This window comes from Homo sapiens, chromosome X, assembly GCF_000001405.40.
Source record: "Homo sapiens chromosome X, GRCh38.p14 Primary Assembly".
NCBI classification, from domain to species: domain Eukaryota; kingdom Metazoa; phylum Chordata; class Mammalia; order Primates; family Hominidae; genus Homo; species Homo sapiens.
Genome location: NC_000023.11, coordinates 124,893,679 through 124,914,418, shown reverse-complemented (window position 1 = coordinate 124,914,418; position 20,740 = coordinate 124,893,679). Strand labels below are relative to the sequence as shown.

Genomic DNA, 20,740 nt, shown 5'->3' with positions numbered 1-20,740 from the left:
TCCTAGCTTAATCTACCAACTCCACAAGAGTCACTGACCCATTTTTCTCATTCTATTCTTCCTCTCCTCTGTGCCCTCTCCTAGTGTTTATTGCCTGAACCAATCATTAGGTTCCAGTTATATACTCTACAATATATATGGGGATATATGTTGTTTCCATTACCAGACATTAAGTTTGTTGAAATTAGAGATCCATATTAGATTACATTATACCTCCTTACCACCAGCAGATATACATGTAGTAAGAGATCATTTTACCTGTAACGAAGTGAATGCATAGCCTTTCTGCCACTAAAGCAATATTAGAAGCAAAAGGTGTTAAATACAAACAAAATTGGATTTGAATTTTGACTTCACCTCTTACTAGGAATGGTGACCATGGTCAAGTATTTTAACCCTTCAGAGTCAGTTTCCTTGCTTATCAATACAAGATAATAATACATGCCTCAGGAAGCTATTGTTCAGTATTAAATGCAGAATGTATGTAAAGTGTATAGCACAGTGTTTGCCACAGGACAAGCACTAGAATAACCATTATTTGTTGTTGCTGTTATGACTATTATTACTTTTGTGGAGATCAAAAAATACCATAATTACATATGACAAGCAGTGGCTATGGTGAGGTGACAAGTTAGTGAATACAAAAATTGGTATAAGCATATGCCTGTTTCTCCATACTTTATAGTATAGTAAGATTTTCCATTATTCTCTACTTCAGAAAGCAGTCATAATTTTGTTGTCTTTATTTTTGGCTGGAGGTTGGCCTCTGGTTTTATAGAATATTCCACTGGAGCCAGTCTCTTGTGTTACATAAAGCATAAATTAAGGTATGGCTAAATTCACAATGTGAGAATTGTGTGCACATGTGTATATATGTATAGACCTATATACCTATTAATCATTTTTATCAAGAAGGCCCATTGCTCACAGTGTGTACCATATATTGGTCATTATGTTGCTGGCAAGCAAAAAGAAATCACCCACTTAACAGGAGAGAAACACATTAACTCTTCAAACTAGTAGGGGGTGCTTTTACTAAATTACCTCCTCCAGTTGCTTTAATGGTACCCTAGTCTCCACACACTAATGCATGTCTGAGCAGTAAGTAGTTTTCTGTCACCTTACTAGGAGAACTAGGATATTTCTTTTTTAATATGAAGAGCTTGGGGAGAGGGTGTGGAAGTTCGTTTTTTTCTTTATATTTGTAAAATATTTATTTATGGAATCACTATGGGAACGTATATAAATGTATAGTAGATATAAATTGCTAGTTCTATTTATAAAAATCCAGTATCTCTTTTAAGTCAATGGTATTAGTAAGAAAAAAATTATGATCAATGTTTTTCCAACTTTTACATTCCAGTGCATCCAATTTTATATTTTTTTACTAATTCTTAATGGAAAGAGGTTCTTATTGAAAGGTACCCTTGGAATCTAGTGATATTTTTAATATACCAGTAGATGATATATATTTTAGTTTTATATATGAATAATTATAATTCAAAATGGCCTTTCCAGTTAGCTTTCTTTTCACACCTCTCCTAAGGCCCATTTGAATTTTATGTAGTTTAAGAAATAAAACTGATTTCCTAGATGAATGAAAGTTGTCTTTTTATAATTTTAGCCCAATGCTAAAATCAAACTGTTCGCAAGTGGACTGTTTTTAAATAACCCTACCCAGATTTGGAATTTTCAGAGCAAATACTATTTGGCATTTATATAGCACACCCTTTCAAGACTGGACTTTTATTTATTGATTATACGTCATGAAGTGAACAGTGTTACACTTATAATTTTATAGCTACACTGTAGAGTAATTCAATTTTTCTTCCCCCAACCCCACCCCAGCTCCCCATCTCTGAAGTGCATGGTGATTATGGTGTTGCAGGTGGGCTCTGGGTTGACTAGAAGAGCTCTTCCCCCCAACAAAATAAAACTCTCTCCCCAACCCTTTCTCCATCCCTCTTTCTTGCTCCCTCTCTCCTTATCCCCTCTCTCAGGATATTGAGTTTCCAAGTATTTAGCCAAAAATATTTTGGGAAGAAAAGTGAACACACAGAACAGGGACAAATGTGGCATATCTCAGCATAGTCTCCCAGGGTCCTCAACTTCCCTCAAATGGAGGATACTGTACAGAGAAGCCATTGACATGGTTTTCACCTAGTAGATTTCAGTTCGATGGAAGAAGCTAAATTCCTACTTGTCACTGCTTTCATATACTCAATTTTGCTGACCCTCTGGAGGAACCTGAGTTAATACCGAGATGAAATGCACAGACAATAACATATAGATTAATATACAGATGAAAATCTGTGTGATTCTGATACTAAATTTTGACTGAGCACAGTTATTACAAATTTATTTCCGCTAGAATATGAGTTCCATGACGGCAGGGATTTTTGCCTGTTTTGTTCATTGCTTTATCTCTGATACCTGGAACAATGCTTGCTACGTTAGGTGGTTAATAAATATTTTCTAGTTAAATGAATTTTCTTACATTCTGGATTAAAACTCACAGCTAGCGAATTTCCAGGCTGCTTTGTAGATGTATGCAAAAAAATTGTAAACTCGGTTATTTGTGTTCAGATTAATGATTCTGGAGCCCTAGCACACAGGAATAGTAAGCAGCATGAGATATAATCTAAGGCAAACAAGGCCCAATTCCTTAGTATGGTATATAAGGCCCTTTACAAACTGGCTCCATCCCACTTTACTGGTTCTTCTACCCCTACACTTATAGTACAGATGCAGAAAATTGTTTGCTGTTCTTTAATTTCATTATTCCCTTACACTTGTCTTTGCCCTTGAACACACACTTCTCTGTGCTAGAAATGCTCTTATCCACTTTTTAACCTACCAGAAGTGCATTCATCCTTTAAGATGAAACTCAAAGTATCACTTCTCTGGAGCCTGTCTCAGTCTTTCAGGCAGAGTGAGTCCCTCACTTTGCTTAGACTCCACAGCCCTTTATGTATAGATCTATCACGGCACTTACTTACCTCCTTGTCCTATCATCATTTCCATGTCTGCAATAGATTGTCAGCCCTTCGAGGGAAGAGGACGTATCTTTTTCCTTCTCTCTAATCTGCCTGGATCCTACCACAGTGTCTGTCACACCATAGGTGCTCCGTGAGTGCTTATTGAATAACATATGGACTGAGGGCATGAAAACTAAGGGTTGAAGTGCTCTATTAAAAATTATAGGCCAAGTGCCGTAGCTTATGTGTGTAATCCCAGCACTTTGGGAGGTGGAGGCAGGAAGATCACCTGAGCTCAGGAGTTCGACAACAGCCTGGGCAACATAGTAAGGCCCCATCTGTATAAAAAATTAAAAAATTAGCCGGGTGTGGTGGCACACACCTGTAGTCCCAGCTACTTGGGAGACTGAGGCAGAAGGATGGCTTAAGCCCACGAGGTCAAAGCTGCAGTGAGCTGTGATCGCACCACTGCACTCCAAAGCCTGGGTGACAGAGCAAGACCCTGTCTCAAAAAAAAAAAAAATTATAATATATAATTTGGCATTAGTCAGGGAAGAGAAAGTATACCAAACCTAGCTTAACTTTTTCAGATTCGCTAACATACTGCTGTGCTGTTAGGCAACTGGCCAAGAAATGAGAACATTTGAACAAGAAAGGGGGAAAAAACAAATGGAGCTAGAATTCTGGAAAAGGAAGTGAAAACGGCCAAAGTAATTGATGCTGAATATGGGGAGGGAGAGGGTGACAGACAGTGGATGGACAAAAGGAACAGATCTACCTTAAATTGTGCCTAGGAGAAACCTTGGAACCAGTGACAAAGCCAAGTAACTATGTCAAAAGTGAACATTTAGCCAAGCATGTGTTTTGTCAATATACTATCAAATCACTATTTGGCTCTTTGTGCTTTTTCCCCCCAAGGTGATGATTTGGGGACCAAATGGAGTCAACTGTTCCAGGCATCATGTAGACTCATATTACATCTATCCTGTATATCATTAATGTCCTTGGGCAATCCTCATAGATTGTTTTACCTGCACATCCTTCCAAAATGTGTAAAAGGAACATGCATTCATGTATATAGATTGTCCATTGTTTTTTAAATGCCTGAAACATTAATTTGATTGTTCAGATTAAGTGTTTGGGGCAATGATAATAAGGATTTGGATAATATAAGTTTCCAGTTCAAAAGCACTAATGTCATTGTTGCTGTTTGCATTTGCTTTCTAGCTTTGAGAGGTTTTGGAAAATGCATTTTGCAAGAATTGCCTGCAGTGTTAGCACTAAATGATAGTGTGGAGGTAAAGAGAAGCATGCCTTTATCTAATTTCATACCTCCTTGATAAATTTCAAATAAAGAAAAATGTTCCTAAACATTTTACCATAAACTGTAGAATATTTTCAACTCAAAGCCTTTCTCTGTGTACTGTGATACGTGTAAAACTCTGAATGTAGATCACAGATATAGGCTTAGTCTATTTAGCATGAGATGATAATACTACCTTGTAAACAGGAACTGCCCCCAAAATTTGATCTGATTGCTTCCTCTAGTTGGGTGATAACATGCTGAAGTAATACCCCAACACACATTTCTCAGTGAATATTATTCCTCTCATCTTTGTTAATGTTGTTAAATAATTTCAAAACTCTCCTCAAGGCAGCTGCTCTGTGCTAGGGAGCTAAACACAAGAGAGGCCAATGTTTTCTTTTATTTGTCCGCCTGCAGACACAGATGTTGTTTGTGTTGTCTGGAAGCACAGAATATGCTCTAAAATATCATTGTTGTTTTCAATGAGTCAAAGTGACAAGTTGCGGGTAAAGTGAATCCATAAGAATTAGTACAGAGTGGAATAATACTTCAAAAGGAGGTACAAAAATGCATTAAACTCATATAGAACAATAAGCTATTAATGATATATGCATAGTTTAAGGGTCTATTTTTATATTGTCAGTGACAAAAGAAGTGCCCATTGTCTCCTGGCTGCTATATCCCTCAAAGTATTTTGGCGGCTGGCTGTGGAAATCCAGATGGAGACAGCAGTGAACTGAATGAAACCTGGGAGACAAGAAGCAGGAAGTTCTAGCATCCGCCACATTCACATTGCACAAATGAGGACTAAGCTGTGAATTTGAATGTGCTGCTTATAATATGCTGCATGAGGTCATTAGGATGGTGTTAAAATGGTTCCAAGTTAGCATTGCCAGTTGGTATCTGTGTGACTTTGGACAATTTATTTAATCTGTCATTGAATGTTGGTTGCTTTATTTGAAAAACAGGACTAATAAGCTGGGCACAGTGGCTCAAGCCTGTAATCCCAGCACTTTGGGAGGCCGAGGCGGGCATATCACCTGAGGTCAGGAGTTCGAGACCAGCCTGGCCAATATGGCGAAACCACGTCTCTACTAAAAGTACAAAAATTAGCCAAGCATGGTGGCGGGTGCCTATAATCTCAGCTACTCAGGAGCCTGAGGCAGGAGACTCACTTGAACCCGGGAGGTGGAGGTTGCAGTGAGCCAAGATCGCATCACTGCACTCCAGCCTGGGAGACAAGAGCGAGACTCCATCTAAAAAAAAAAAAAAATTGGAATAATAACAACCTTTCTCTCAGGGCTACTCTGAGGATTAAATGAAATAATATATGTTTCAGGGCTTGGTACATAGAAAATGCTAAATTCATGGAGGTCAAGCTACCAAGGAACATGCAGTTTTACATATTAAAAAAGAGGAAGAAGAAAGTAAATCCAAACATTAATTTAGCATCTTCTTTTTTAAAAAAATTTACTTTAAGTTCTGAGAACATGCACACGTATGTTTATTGCAACACTATGTACAATAGGAAAGACTTGGAACCAACCCAAATGCCCATCAGTGATGGGCACTGGATAACGAAAATGTGGTACATATATATCATGGAATACTATGTAGCCATAAAAAAGGATGAGTTCATGTCCTTTGCAGGGACATGGATGAGGCTGGAAACCATCATCCTTGGCAAACTAACACAGGAACAGAAAACCAAACACTGTGTGTTCTCACTCATAAGTGGGAGTTGAACAATGAGAACACATGGACACAGGGAGGGGAACGTCATACACTGGGGCCTGTCAGGAGGTAGGGGGCTAGAGGAGGGAGAGCATTAGGGCAAATACCTAATGCATGCAGGGCTTAAAACCTAGGTGACGGGTTGATAGGTGCAGCAAACCACCATGGCACATGTATACCTATGTAACAAACCTGCACATTTGGCACATGAACTTAAAGTAAAATAAAATTTAAAAAAGAAGATGCTAAATTCATGTTTGGATTTACTTTCTTCTTTTTTTGATATGTAAAACTGCATGCTTTTTGCTAGCTTGACCTCCATTCATTTCTGCCCCAGGACTAGGGAATGCGTGCTTTGAAATCAGAACTACCTAGAAGTGGTTAAATTAAAAATCTTGTGCTTAGTCAGTTGCAAGTGAATTTTCTGATAACTGAGATAAGTTAGTTTTCCAACTTCCACAGCTAATAGAGAATGGCCTTTCTTTCTAAATAAAAGTTTGTAATGATAGGACTGTAATGTAAATACCACTCTCAAAAATAATTGTGTTGGTTCAGATCTACTATACTTCAGAATGAGGTTGACTGACCCTGATTATAAGAGTATATGACTACTATGTTAGTGTTTGCATATAATAACCCATTCTGCCATTGACTATATATGCTATGCCACTAAAGAGTCTTTGTAGAAATTAATGGTAAACAAAGGGTACATTATCAACCTCTTATTGTTGAGAAGTAGATTCTGAGGGTTTTTTAAATAATAGGGCTTCATTTGCGCTGAGTTAACCATATCCTCTCATCTAGTTCTTGGAAATAAATGACATGCATTCAACCAGAATGAATAGCCAGGATTATGAGAGAAATTTGTAGCTATGGGACAAAACAAAGGCAACTAGACTGTTAAGGTGGAAATGGCAAATGTGTCACCGATATCATTGAGTCTACCTAATCTGTCATGGTACTTTATCATTGAGCCCAGATTGGCCCATGAATCTTTCCTGCCAGATTAGGAATAAACCTCATTTGTTGGTCATGTTTGCATTAGTCTGTACCAATCTAGCCATTCAGGATTTTGGTATCCAGAATTTAAGCCCTTCGGATTCCCCTGGAGTAAAAGTAAAATGGCAGACAAGTTGAGAGAAATTGATCTGTCCATTTCCCTCATTGATGACAGTGTGTGAACACAGATTGGTTTTTCTGTTTTATCAGCCTTGCTGCTTTGTTTCATTGTTCCCAGTGTTCTTCTTGGCCATTTAAATTAGGCAAGCAGAGTACATTCTTGTCTTCCCCCTGTATTTTCTAGAAACATCTTTATTGAGGTAAAATTGACATACAATAAACTATATATAGAGTATACGAGTTGGTAAATTTTACATATGTATATATCCATGAAAACATCACCACAATCATCACAGTGAACCTACCTACCACCCCTAAAAGTTTCCTTTCACTGCTTTATAATGCCTATATCCTCCACTCCCCACACACCCCAGTCCAGGCAACTACTGATCTGCTTTCCCTCACTATATATTAGTTTGCATTTTCTGGATACTTACATACCTGGAAGCACACAGTATGTAGACTTTTTATTTGGCCTCTTTAACTCAGCATAATTATCTTGATATTTGTTTATGTCGTTATATTATTTATATTAATAGATCATTCCTTTTTATGTCTCAGTAGTATTCCATTGTATGGATGTACCAGAGTTTGCATTCATTTGCCTATTGATGTTCTTTATTTCCAGCTTTGGCTCTTACAAATAAAGCTTCTATGAGCATTTGTGTACAAATCTTTGTAAGGACATGTGATTTTATTTATCTTTGGTAAATATTGAGGGTTGGAATAGTTAGATCATATGGTAAGTGTACATATAACTTTATAAGACATGAAGATATCTAGGGCCAACATTGCTCTGCACCCACCTAACAAAGCTTAATAGCAAGACCCAAAAGGATAAAAATGTTGCCAAGTAATTTAAGCACACACTAGAACAAAGCTTTATACGCAAATATATACAGACAGTCCCCAACTTACAATGGTTCAACTTATAATGATTCAACTTAATTTTTTTTTACTTTATGATGGTTTAAAAGCAATACACATTCAGCAGAAAAAATACTTTGAGTACCCATACAACCATTCTGTTTTTCATTTTTGGTATAGCATTCTATAAATTACATGAGATAGTCAGCACTTTATTATAAAGATAGCCTCTGTGTTAGATGCTTTTGCTCATCTGTAAGCTAATGTAAGTGTTCTGAGCACATTTAAGGTAGGCTAGACTAAGTTATGATGTTCAGTGGATTAGGTGTATTAAAGGCATTTTTGACTTACAATATTTTCAGGTTACAATGGGTTTATCAGAATGTTACCCCATTGTAAGTCGAGGAACATCTATCTATGAATTCAAAATCTGTTTTGAGTATTCTATTCAATGCCCATGAATTATGAGGTTTTCCACTGTGGATGTTGGAAACAGTGACTATTTCCAGCCCTGTTTCAGATTCAGAAGTTGTTTCTTTTATTCCTTTCTGATGGCTCTTTCTCCATTCTCAGATGGTTTTCTTGCACGCATGTGCTGTCCAGAGTGCAGGTGAATATGCAGGGGGGACCCTCTGAAGATCTATGGAATTCTTTTTCTGTGCAGTTCTCTCCTCTCTGGTACTCCGTACTGCAAACTCTAGCTATCTTGGCCTTCCCGCACTACCAGCTTAGTCTTCTCAACTCAAAGAGACTACCAGGCTCTACCTGTGATCCCCCTCCTTGTCCTGAGGCCTGGAAACTCTTACAGGGTTTACCTAATTTGTTTCTCATATCTCAGGGATTGTTGTCCTTCATTATCTGTTGTCCAATGCCTGAAAACTGTTGTTTCATACATTTTGTGTGGCTTTCGTTGTTGTCATTTAAGGCAGGAGAATAAATTTGGTTGCTGTCACTCCATCTTGTTTGCAAGTGGAAGTCTTCTCCAGAATTTAATGTTTTCCTCTGAATGGAATTCAAATTTGCAAGTTCCTGATGAGTGTCCAAAAAGTTATTTTCTCAATCTTTCCCAACTTAGAAAATTTATTCATTCATTCATTCATTTATTTATTTATTTATGATGAGGTCTCACACTGTCACCTAGGCTTGAGTAACAGTGGTGCAGCCTCAAACTCAGGGGCTCAAGTGATCCTCCCAGTCTCTCAAGTAGCTGGGACTACAAGCACATGCCACCACACCTGGCTAATTTTTTTTTTAATTGAGACAGAGTCTCACTTTGTTACTCAGCCTGGTTTCAAACTCCTGGCTCAAGCAATCCTCCCACCTTGGCTTCCCAAAGTGGTGGGATTATAGTCAAGAGCCACCCACATCCAGCCAGAATTTCTTTTTTCTATCCCTGACTTATTTTTTTTAGTAACATTCTCTGAGTTCCTGAAAACAGGCTGTCAGAAGAGCTACATACCCACTCCAGGGCATTCTACAAACTTACTGAGATGATAAATTCTATCTGGGATATGGCATGAAACTGGTTGATGAGAATGACAAAAGAAGTTTCTATTCAAGCCAGCTTAAAGATGGTCTTTTACCAAGGCTTTGTGACTAGTTTCAGTAAAATTTCCCCAGTTCTACACCCTAGAGTACATTTCTGAAGAATTTTAACAGGCAATTATTTCCCAGTTCATTATGCCAAAAAGTATAGTGTAGAAAGCTTCCTTTGTGTGACTATTTCAGTCAGAAGATGATACTGAGTACTTGTTCTCCATTAGTCTAATATTATAAATTGTATTTTCCTGAATTCACAGCCAGTGGGCTGCTGTCTTTCTCCTCTTGCCAAATTTGTGGAACATCTGTTATTTGAAACAGACAGCTAATTTACCAAAATAACAATTTTTCAATTTGCATTGGTAGGCATTGTTTTATGTTAAGCTAAACCACCTCAAATGTGTCAGAATTGGGTTCAAGTTGTTAACCCTTTCAAGAGTGGTTCCATGTTAACTACTAATTTTTAAACTTTGGTGTTTAGGGTCACTCTTTGCCTAGAAGTAGTCTAAGTTCTGAGGGGATGGCAATACCACCTTAGAATGTAATTTATTCTGTAGTTGATGATGGACGCTGACTCTGTTGTACCATTCTATCTTGGCATCTTTACTCATTCATCACAAAGTAAATGCTTACAGAGAAGTATAGAATGTTACAGAAATAATATTGCTTGCCTCTATGAGTATGTATTTGAAGCACTCACAAGTGTTTTTAATGGTTATTTAACTCTAGCTCATTGATCTCACTTCTCTAGATAGAATTGTGCAGCAGATTGATGTAGTTTAAAATTTCAGACACACACACACACGCACACACACACGCACCCATTGACCAAAAAGCTGCACATACTTAGTGAACATAATGGAAATACACAAGTATACCTGGAAGACCACAATGGGCAACAAGGATTCAGGTTCCAACGAGTTATGACCAGCCAGAAAATTGGGCCAGCACATGTAAGAAATGAGAAATTTTTAGGGCCATTGAGCACCATGCATTTTCAGTGTTCAGTAGCCCTGAAAATTTCTCATTTAGGCCAGGAAGTCTCTGTCTCATTCAAAATGTTGAAATAAAGGGAACATGCACAGGTTCTCATTGATCTAAATTTCTGTTGAAGTCCAGGACCTCCCACCATCTTTTCTAGTCCCTGATTCTTTTTCCAGACTCTTATTACAAATATTGTAGAGCAAGCATCCAATTTTTGTCATTGTAGTGGTAACTGCTGAGTTAGCTTCAAAACAAGTGCTCCCATCTTATGTGAATACAGTCTAAATGGAGCCGTTCACTAAGGTGAAAATTAGTTTAAGGAAATAGTTAGCATTTGCTTATTCCCACATCAAATTTTCTTCCTCTTCTTAGATTGCTGAAGGATATTTTAATCTCTCTCTAAATATGATTGGAGTTGTTTTGATTTCTTCCAGGTTTCTACCTCGTCTTCTTTCCTTTTGAGTCCTGATACAATTCTGTGTCCTCTGATTTGAGCCATTTTTACAGATTTTTAATTCATTGTACTCCTGAGAGCATCCTTTTTTTGATATTAACATAGCCTTTTAACTGCATTCTGGGATGTCTCCAGTTAGCTAATATTGGTCACAAAGCATGAATGTTTCTACTTCAGGCTTTTAACTCTGCCCAGATTTGTTGCCATGCTTTTCCGTATACTGACAGATGGAGAAATCTTGAAAATTAAATAAGGCATAATTAGTAGGTCCTGAGTGCCGAGATAATGGGTGCATTTGGAACTGTCAAGGGGAGATTAGGCTCCAGGAAGCTTAGTTATTTTATTTAAGTCATCTTATAACCACAGGCTCCAGTCTTGCACATGGGAGCATTCCATCTCTCACTCCTGTGCCCCAGAAAAAGCTGATGAGCCCTCAGCAGAAAAATAAAAGTCAGGTTTAGACAATGTGCCTTTATTACCTTGTTATCATTAGGGGCTTAAAAAGGCTCTGTGTGGAACTTCCCAAAGGACATGACAAGGTCCTGTTAACTCACTCTGCTCACTGCCTAGTATAGCACTGTACATTTGATAAAACATTTTCATGAAGAAAGGAGGAAATTAAATTGAACTAATTTTCTAAGACTAAGAGAAATCAGAGGAGACTATTTTGTTTTGATTTCTTTACTTTAAATTGAGTGGGTGTTCAGTGAAGCTGTGTTTAAGTAAATTTACTTGAACTGATTTGGTTGACAATTTGATACCGTTTTCTTTTTAAAGCCCTCAAACTGAGAAATAGAAAATGGTACCCAGTAGTGAAAATTATTTGCCTCTTATCTGGTGTTACTTACTTCTTTGTCTCTGTATTTCTTGCTTAAGATTGTAATAATCCATTGCATTTTTCCCTGGAGCCAGTAATGAATTATTAGTGGGTCAGTAATATTTTTAATTGTGTGAATTTTATTCATTATGTTTCCAATAGCCATGTTGTAAATGGATACTTTTATATTTGATGAGTAACAATTTACTCAGTTGCTTTTTACATTTTAAGTTGTAGATTCTCTGTTTCTCTATCAATAATCTTGCAATTCATAGTAGGTACATAGGCTGTATCAATACTTTAATATAGCAGGAATTATAATTATGGCACAAGATCTTATTTAACTAATATGTACTATATCCTTCACAAAGAAGTATAAATGGCTCCTTGATTCATGAAACTACTAACTCTTTTCCCATTTGAACACATTGACCATTACATATGTTGGATAACAGGTTCGGGTTATAATTATAGAATTTTAGAACAAGGCAGTTACGTAGAGATTTATTTCTAGTTGGATCCATACATCTTACAAATGAGAAAACTAGCCCCCAAAATGTTAAGTGACTTATCCAAAAACCAAATGGATAATTAATAACACTTGCTTCTGCATGTAATCTATAAGGGTTGTTATGAGTCACAGTAATTAAACTAATAATTCTATCCCCTCCCCCCTCTCCTTTATTTTGGAAATGGGCTATACTCTTTAAAAGTTATATCCCAAATTTCTCAGGTCATGGTTAAAATTAATCACACTTCTTGACTTCCAATTACTTATTTGGAGCATAATGCCTTAAAGCTCACTTTTTAGAGGAAGCATGGGGAGGTAGAATTTTAGAAAAAATAGTCTTGAGCTTATCAGAAACACAGAAATTGGCCGGGTATGGTGGCTAATACTTGTAATGCTTGAGTCCAGGAGTTCAAGACCAGCCTGGGCAACACTGGGGGGAGCTCTTCTCTACAAATAATTTTAAAATTATCTGTGTGTGGTGGTGCATGCCTGTAGTCCCAGCTACTCAAGAGGCTGAGGTGGGAGGAGGATCACCTGAACCTGGGAGGTCGAGGCTGCAGTGAGCCAAGATCGTGCCACTGCACTCCAGCCTGAGTGACAGAGTGAAACCCTGTCTCAAACAAACAAAACAAAACACAGAAATGGCATTTCTAGAAAAACACTGATACAGATAGCTATAACTTTCCTTCTCAAGTTTTGATAAATGGCTTCTTTAGGCTGAACACCTGATGATCAACCCCTAGATTCAGAAAGTAGAGTCATTTATTTTTTTTTCAGTGCTTCATAGCATTTAAAAAAAAATTATTAATTTGTTAGCATTAGTAGATGTCTAAGGTGGTCCTATGTGCCAGACCAGCTCTACTCAATCTCATGATCCTCAACCATAAATGTTTCCCTAGCTGCTGAAAGCTTAGCAGTGATGAGTTTCATCCTTAGTTTCCCTCCTAAATTTGATGTTCAACTCTTATGTGTCTAGGACAAAAGTACACCCTAGAAGATCACTGAGAAATCATGCATCAGTCGGGCATAGTGGCTCATGCCTGTAATCCCAGTACTTTGGGAGGCTGAAGCAGATGGATCGCCTGAGGTCAGGAGTTCGAGACCAGCCTGGCCAACATGGTGAAACCCCGTCTCTACTAAAAATACAAAAATTAGCTGGGCATGGTGGCAGGCACCTGTAATCCCAGCTACTTGGGAGGGTGAGGCAGGAGAATCACTTGAACCCGGGAAGTGGAGGTTGCAGTGAGCCGAGACCACACCATTGTGCTCCAGCCTGAACAACAAGAGCAAAACTCAATCTCAAGAAAAAAAAAAAAAAGAAGAAGAAGAAGAAAGAAAGAAAAAATAAATCATGCATCAGTTAGTCTTCATGGCCTCTTGGCTTAGATATAAGCAAGATGACATTTTGACTACCTTTTTGTTCGTGTTACATTTACTTTATTCCACTAGAGAGAAAAGAGCAAGACCTCCTTCTAGCTGTGAAAATTGATTCAAAAGTCTCCTTGTTGTTTTAATATCTGGTGGTGTACAATCAACTAAAAATCTTTGTAGGGGTATAATTGAAGTATAATAAACTACACTTACTACGTATACTTAAGGTGTGCAATATGATAAACTTTGGCATGTATACACCTGTGAAACTATCACCACAATCAAGGTAACGGACATTTAGATCACCCCAAAGTTTTTTTGTGTCCCTTGTTATCCATCTCTCCCTCCACCCTTTTCCCCAGGCAACCACGTATTGGCTTTATGTCACAGTAGATTAGTCTGAATTTTCTAGAATTTTATATAAATGGAAGCATACCATATGTAGATTTTTGTCTGTCTTCTTTCACTTAGCAGAGTCATTTTGAAGTCCATAACATTGTTATGCATCAATAGTCCATTCCTTTTTAGGACTGAGTAATATTCCATTATGTAAATATACCACAGGTGGATTATCCATTCATGTGTTCATAGATACTTGGGACATTTGTACTTTTTAGCTATTTTTGAATAAAGCTGGTATGAACAACTTTGTACAGTTTTGGACAGAAGTTTTCATTTCTTTGTGATAAATGTCCAAGAGTCCAATTGCTCTTTTGGTAAGTATGGCTTTAACTTTTCAGAAAACTGCCACACTTTTTTCTTATGTGGTTGCACAGTTTTACTTTCTCACCACCAGTGTATGAGAATTGCAATTGCTCCACATTCTTTCTCAACACTTCTTGTGGGCAGAATTTTTTTTAGCCATAGTAGTGGGTATGTAGTGGTATCTCATTGTGGCTTTAGTTTGCATTTTCATGGTAACAGTGATGTTGAGCATCTTTTCATTTGCTTATTGGCCACCTCTATTGTTTGTTGTGAAGTGTCTCTTTAAACTTTTTGCCCACTTAAAAAATTGAATTTCAACCATTGCGGAAAGCAGTAGGGCAATACCTTAAAGAGCTAGAAGCAGAACTACCATTCGACCCAGCAATCCCATTACTGGTTATATACTCAGAGGAATATAAATCATTCTACCATAAAGACGTATGCACTCAGATGTTCATTGCAGCACTATTCATAATAGCAAAGACATGGAATCAACCTAAATGCCCATCAATGACAGATTGGATAAAGAAAATGTGGTACAGACTAGGTGTGGTGGCTCACACCTGTAATCCCAGCATTTTGAAAGGCCAAGGCAGGAAGATCGCTTGAGTCCAGGAGTTCGAGACCAACCTGGGCAACATGAAGAAACCCTATCTCTATAAAAAATATGAAAAATTAGCCAGGTGTGATGGCATGTGCCTGTAATCCCAGCTACTCAGGAGGCAGAGGTGGGAGAATCACCTGAGCCCAGAAGTCAGGGCTGCAGTGAGCCCTGATCACGCTGCTGAACTTTATCTTCTCTAGAGAATATGTAGTACTTTAGGTAACAAGGTTATATGTACAAGGCTAGAAAACAACTACTTGTGGTGCGTTGTAAGTGCTTTATAGATAATGCATCTTTTGGGAATTTTGAGCACCACCAAGACGTTTGTGTATTTAGGAAAATATTTTACAATGGTGACATTGATTTCAAGAAAAGGAAATGAGGCATTTCAATAAACATCGGTTACTATAAGTAAGTGAAACTTTTTCTCTTTTCTTTTTTTATGCTTTACCACTTAAAAAAGAAGAGCAACTGATAGCTAATTTGGATTGTTACTTTTTCTAATTATAGATTGACAAGAAAGTGTACTTTTATCTGACTGTATTTAATTAGAGAATTTATGAGTCAGTCTTTGTAGGCAAAGCAGGATATAGTTACAATAGAAAATAAATTGTTTATTCTATGTAATTTTTAATCAGATTACACAGCATTTTCTTAGAAGGGAGCAAATCCATGTTCTAATTTCCTTTTGAATGGGAAAAATATCTCTTTAATAAAAAAGAAATCTGCTTACATCTGTCAGTGCTTTTTAAAAAACTTTATCTGGTGTTTTATTAATCTGGAATGACAAATTGGACCTACATTTATTTTTATTTGCTCAACCTTTTCCAACGAATGCCATGACTCAGATGCTCATATTAAAATCTTTGGAAAGCCACATCTCATATGCCGTTGTATGAGTGAAACTAAATGCAAGTCTGTGCTCTTGGAAGTAAATTTTCTAGTTAGTGCCCTGAATCCAGGGGAAATAAATGGAGACACTTCACAGCAATTCAGAGCAAAAACTCCCTTTCTTGTATCTTTAAACAGAATTAAAGATGATGCAGCAAAATCTGTGGTAATGCCATGATAAGTTTGCACCCTCACTACTACCCATTCCCTGGATCCCATCCACTTCAAGTAAATCTCTAGGGCAGTCGATTTCAAAGTATGATCCCTGGACCAACAGCATGGGTCTCACCAGGGAAGTCATTCGAAATGCAGATTCTTTGGCCCTACTCCACACCTGCTGAATCAGAAACTTAAATTGGAAGGCACGGATGGGAGTGGGGTGCAGCAATCTATGTTTTAACAAGCCTTCTAGGTGATTCTGAAGCAGCCAAGTTTGAGAGCCACTGTTCTAGGGGAGTGAAGTAAGTTGTTACAGACCTATATAAAATTCATTTCTTGCAGCTTCAAGCTGAAAGGTTTATTACCAGGTTGCTGTAGCAACAACTGCACAGTAGGATTGGATAATGAAACATTGTGAAATTAAGAGGCATGAATATTAGCTGATCCCAATATTCTAGATTGCTAAAATTTATATTGGGCAAAATGGATTTTTACTTTTAGCCTTATGGCAGGAAGAAGCATGGTTTCATAAAATGTTATGTTTGACAAGTGGAAACCACGACTATTTTTTGAATACTACTCCTTTGGAATTTAGCCAAGTTTTTGTAGAAAAAGGGAATTACTCTTAAATACATTCATCATGGAAATCAAAAGGTAACATACTCAGCAGTGACTTATAACCCTGAAAGAGTTAATTTTTAATTGAATATTTCTAATACATTATAGTAGCTTTATTTGCCTACTATATGTTTCACAAAGCACAGTGCTATGCACCTAGTGGTATTAAGTAAACAATAAGAATTTTTTGTTAAACCCTTATTTGGTAATTATATGCCCCAAAAATAGTTATTTTAAAAATATATTCATATTCTGCTTGCTTTCCTCTAGTGTATGGTCTAAAATCCAGTACTTTCTGTATTCAGAGAATTAAATTCATGTTAGAGTTTGCATTTTATTGATATGTGCTAAGGATTAGATGCACTCAGTTAAGCTCCTTCCCAGCCAAATGACATATCCTGTCTCTGATGTCAGTCTGAGAAAATCCTGTATGGTGTACTACATCTCCGGATTACCTTATCTAAGTATTACATGGACATTTCAGATGATATGTCTTGGCATGTGGTCATTTTTCATTAACTTATTAGCAATTGTTAAATCATCTTTTCCCCTTTTTGACACCTTGCTATAACTGAATGTAAAATTGACTGTAAGACTGAATGCCTGATATTCATGCAGTAAGTTGATGGGGCATCGTTGTTGTATACCAGAAACCATGCCTACATGGGTGTTTTAGGAAAAAGGGCTCTGTTGCTATCTGATGTGAGCTATGAAAAAATAATATCTATCCTCTGGAGTTTATTTTCCTCAACTATAAAAAGAAGGAATTCGTTGCATCATCTTTAAGGTTCTGAAAATTTTATAACTCTAAGATCTAGGGGGAAAGGAGAGGAAATCCAATCCATGAACCACTGCCAAGGTACAATATATGACTAAATTTTTGTGTGTATTTATTGGAAAAAAATGAATTACATAGAATAATTAGCATAAAGTCAGCCTTGAACTCCGTTAAAATCAATGGAAAATAATGATATTAGGTACTGATGATTTAGAGTTTAAATTAACATGTTTTAGGAAAAATACTTTAGAAAAGTGCATTTGAACTTAATGCTTTTTTCTCAGAGTTTTCACATTGAATTATTTATTCTTAAATCCAATGTGTATGGAATACTTAGAAAAGCAAATCATTTTAATATTTTAAGCATAGGTACACTCTGCAGATCATATATATTCTTCCTAGAAAAGAAATATCTTTTAAAGGACACCTCTCTACACTTTATACTCCTCTGCACTCACTTATTTCATTACATTTTGTGAAACCTAAAATTGTAGCTATAGAACTATTTTGGGCGCGCTTTTTCCAGAACCTTGTAAGAATCAACAGGAGCATAATTTTAAGCTACAGAAGTGCAAAATAAGCACAGAGTCCTAGCTACCATGAATAAAAGGCCAGAATTCTAACTTGCAAAAACACGTAATTACTACCAATGGGGGAGAGGGGAATGAGAACAAAAAGTAGAATTTTCTGGGGGATTTCTTCATACTTCTAAACGTTTTCTCTGAACTTTGTTTCTTCTCAGAGATGGAATTCTGTGAAACCTCTCACACTCTGTGCTCTGGCTACCAAACAGACATGCACAGCGTTTCTCGGCATGGCTACCAGCTAGAGATGGGATCTGATGTGGACACAGAGACAGAAGGTGCTGCCTCACCTGACCATGCACTAAGAATGTGGATAAGGGGAATGAAATCAGAGCATAGTTCCTGTTTGTCCAGCCGGGCCAACTCTGCATTATCCTTGACTGACACTGACCATGAAAGGAAGTCTGATGGGGAAAATGGTAATAAACTACTTGAATTGTTTAAGTAAAACACAGAAAGAATGCAGTTTTTAGCCTTTGCTTTGTTCTCCTTCCCTATATCTGCCCTTCTTTCATTTAATATGCAGAATGGAAATACAAGTTAGCAGGGACTCATGGACAAGGCATGCACCTAAGTATCTGGCAAATAGACATTTATTTATAATAACAGACAAAATACTTTTCATTTTCGGTGAGCCCCCAAGGGAAATAATCTCATGTAATCCATAATATCGTGCATGTTTTGTTTATTACTCACCTTTTATTTTCATCTTTATTTTCCACGGCAATACTAGTAGAATTTATTATAGAATGTCCAAATTTCATGTATTTTGGCTTTATATCAATAAATGAACAGTGAGATGAACAGTTGTGTAGCAAGCATATTCTGTATGTGCTTACTATTTGGATTCAGATTAACCTGTTGAATGTACAAACGCAAATTAACCAGGTTGGACTGAAGTGGTTTAAAAAACCAGAAGGTGAATGAACATCATCCATTTGCTTGACAATAAGGACTAGCAGCAGTATCATTATGTCATAATCATATATGATTTTCTTGCAACTTTTATAAAAGGAAAATTTTGTCTTTTTGATTTGTTGGAAAGGGGTTAATTTATTTTATTTCTGTTCTTTTGCTCCTACCAGAGAACAAAATCTTTTCATAAAAAGCACATTACTGCTTATTAAACACATTAGTCTCTCCATCATTCTGTTTGTGTACATTTTATAAGTCCCCATTACCATGACCACAAGGCTTACTCTGTTAACAGTGGTAATTAGTACTTTTTCAGGTGGCAGAGAGATAGCCAGCTGCCCTGTACCTGCAGTTTGTTTTTTCTATTTTGTCCTCTTCTGCCTCCTTTAATCCAAAGGTGATACTGGCCATATAATCAGGAATTAGAGGTTGCCTACTAGTTAGAATATCACGTCCTAAATAGTAGACCATAACACTTTACAATATCACCAAGTATCCTTGGGGTCTTGATTTTTTTTAGATTATTTTCATATATGTATGTGTTCATGTATGCATTGTTGACTTTGGCCAAGAGTATAGGAAGTAACGTACGGAAATGAGAAGGGAACATATTTGACATATGTAGCATATTCATGTAAGTGAAAGGCATTAGGATAGAAGTTAGGAGACCTTTGACTGGTCACTACAGTTTTCTGGGTTTCGTCTTTCAGTTGGGAAAAACAATGATCAAAATTATATGAAATGGGGTGGTAGGTGATCTCTTATATTGGCAAGACATCTTCTCCTTCATCTCACTCTGGACATATTCACTGGGTTGAAACATTAAAATGAAAGAAGTTTCCCCACTGGGCTCTGCTATTCTTCTACCTTTGCAAGTCTCTTGTTATGAGGTATCTTTTGGGGTGATGAAAATATTCTAGACTTAGATAGATGTGATGGTTGTGCAACTCTGCAAAAATACTAAAAACCACTGAATTGTATGCTTTAAAAGGATGAATATTACATATGTGAATTATATTGCAATAAAGCTGGGTTTTTTTTAAGCACCACTAGATGAAGGGTAAGGGTTGAAGTTTGAGGAATTGCAGATGACTTGGACAAGGCTTAACTAGTGAAATGTTTACTGTTACAGGTTTCAAATTCTCTCCTGTTTGTTGTGACATGGAGGCTCAAGCTGGGTCTACTCAAGGCAAGTGTTTTCAAATATTTGATCACAAATTATTTTTACTTCACCCCATCCCTGGCACCCTACCCCCACAAAATGGAACCCTGCTTCTCTGACAAACAACATACAAGCCTGCTCAATGAACCTGTCAGAGAATACAGTGGCAGCTTATTTGTTTGTTTTCTTCTTGAAAATTTCATGTGAAAATGTTGGTGGTGAAGAGGAGGTGAAGGGGGAGCTAGGGAGAAGGATAAAACAGGATTCCAGGTAGGATGAGAAAACATTTATTTAACCTGGGAGGAGAGACTGAAATCAGGTTGGGTTGGATTTGGCTTCATGACTTTCTACAAATCTACCATGTTTTACATGGCTCTCATAATTAACTCAGTATAGTTTAGGTATTGTCATAACTTTCAGATGTTGCCTAGCAGTTGGCCTTGGTCTCTTCCTCCAGGTGTTCATGCTTGGCTTTAGCATCACACTTTATCCATGTCATCAATCATAAATAACACTTTCAAATGAAAAAAAAATGTTCATTCTCTTCTGTAAACCTATATTTACACTGTGTCATTCCTTAGTAAGGGGGCATTGGTGTATATTTTTACTTTTGCCTTCATTGTGTTCATTGGGTTTTGCCCCTT

The 20,740-nt window shown here is 37.1% G+C and overlaps 1 protein-coding gene across 13 annotated transcripts in view; it reads left to right on the top strand.

Moving 5' to 3' along the window:
- The window catches only part of TENM1 (teneurin transmembrane protein 1), an 828,410-nt gene that overhangs the window by 289,894 nt on the left and 517,776 nt on the right, over positions 1 to 20,740 (top strand). For all 13 annotated transcript variants that reach the window (XM_017029210.3, XM_017029211.3, XM_047441760.1 and 10 more), the window contains 2 exons: positions 18,178 to 18,438; positions 20,067 to 20,123. In XM_017029210.3, the coding sequence (XP_016884699.1) occupies positions 18,178 to 18,438; positions 20,067 to 20,123 (318 nt within the window). The remainder of the gene's footprint in view (positions 1 to 18,177; positions 18,439 to 20,066; positions 20,124 to 20,740) is intronic.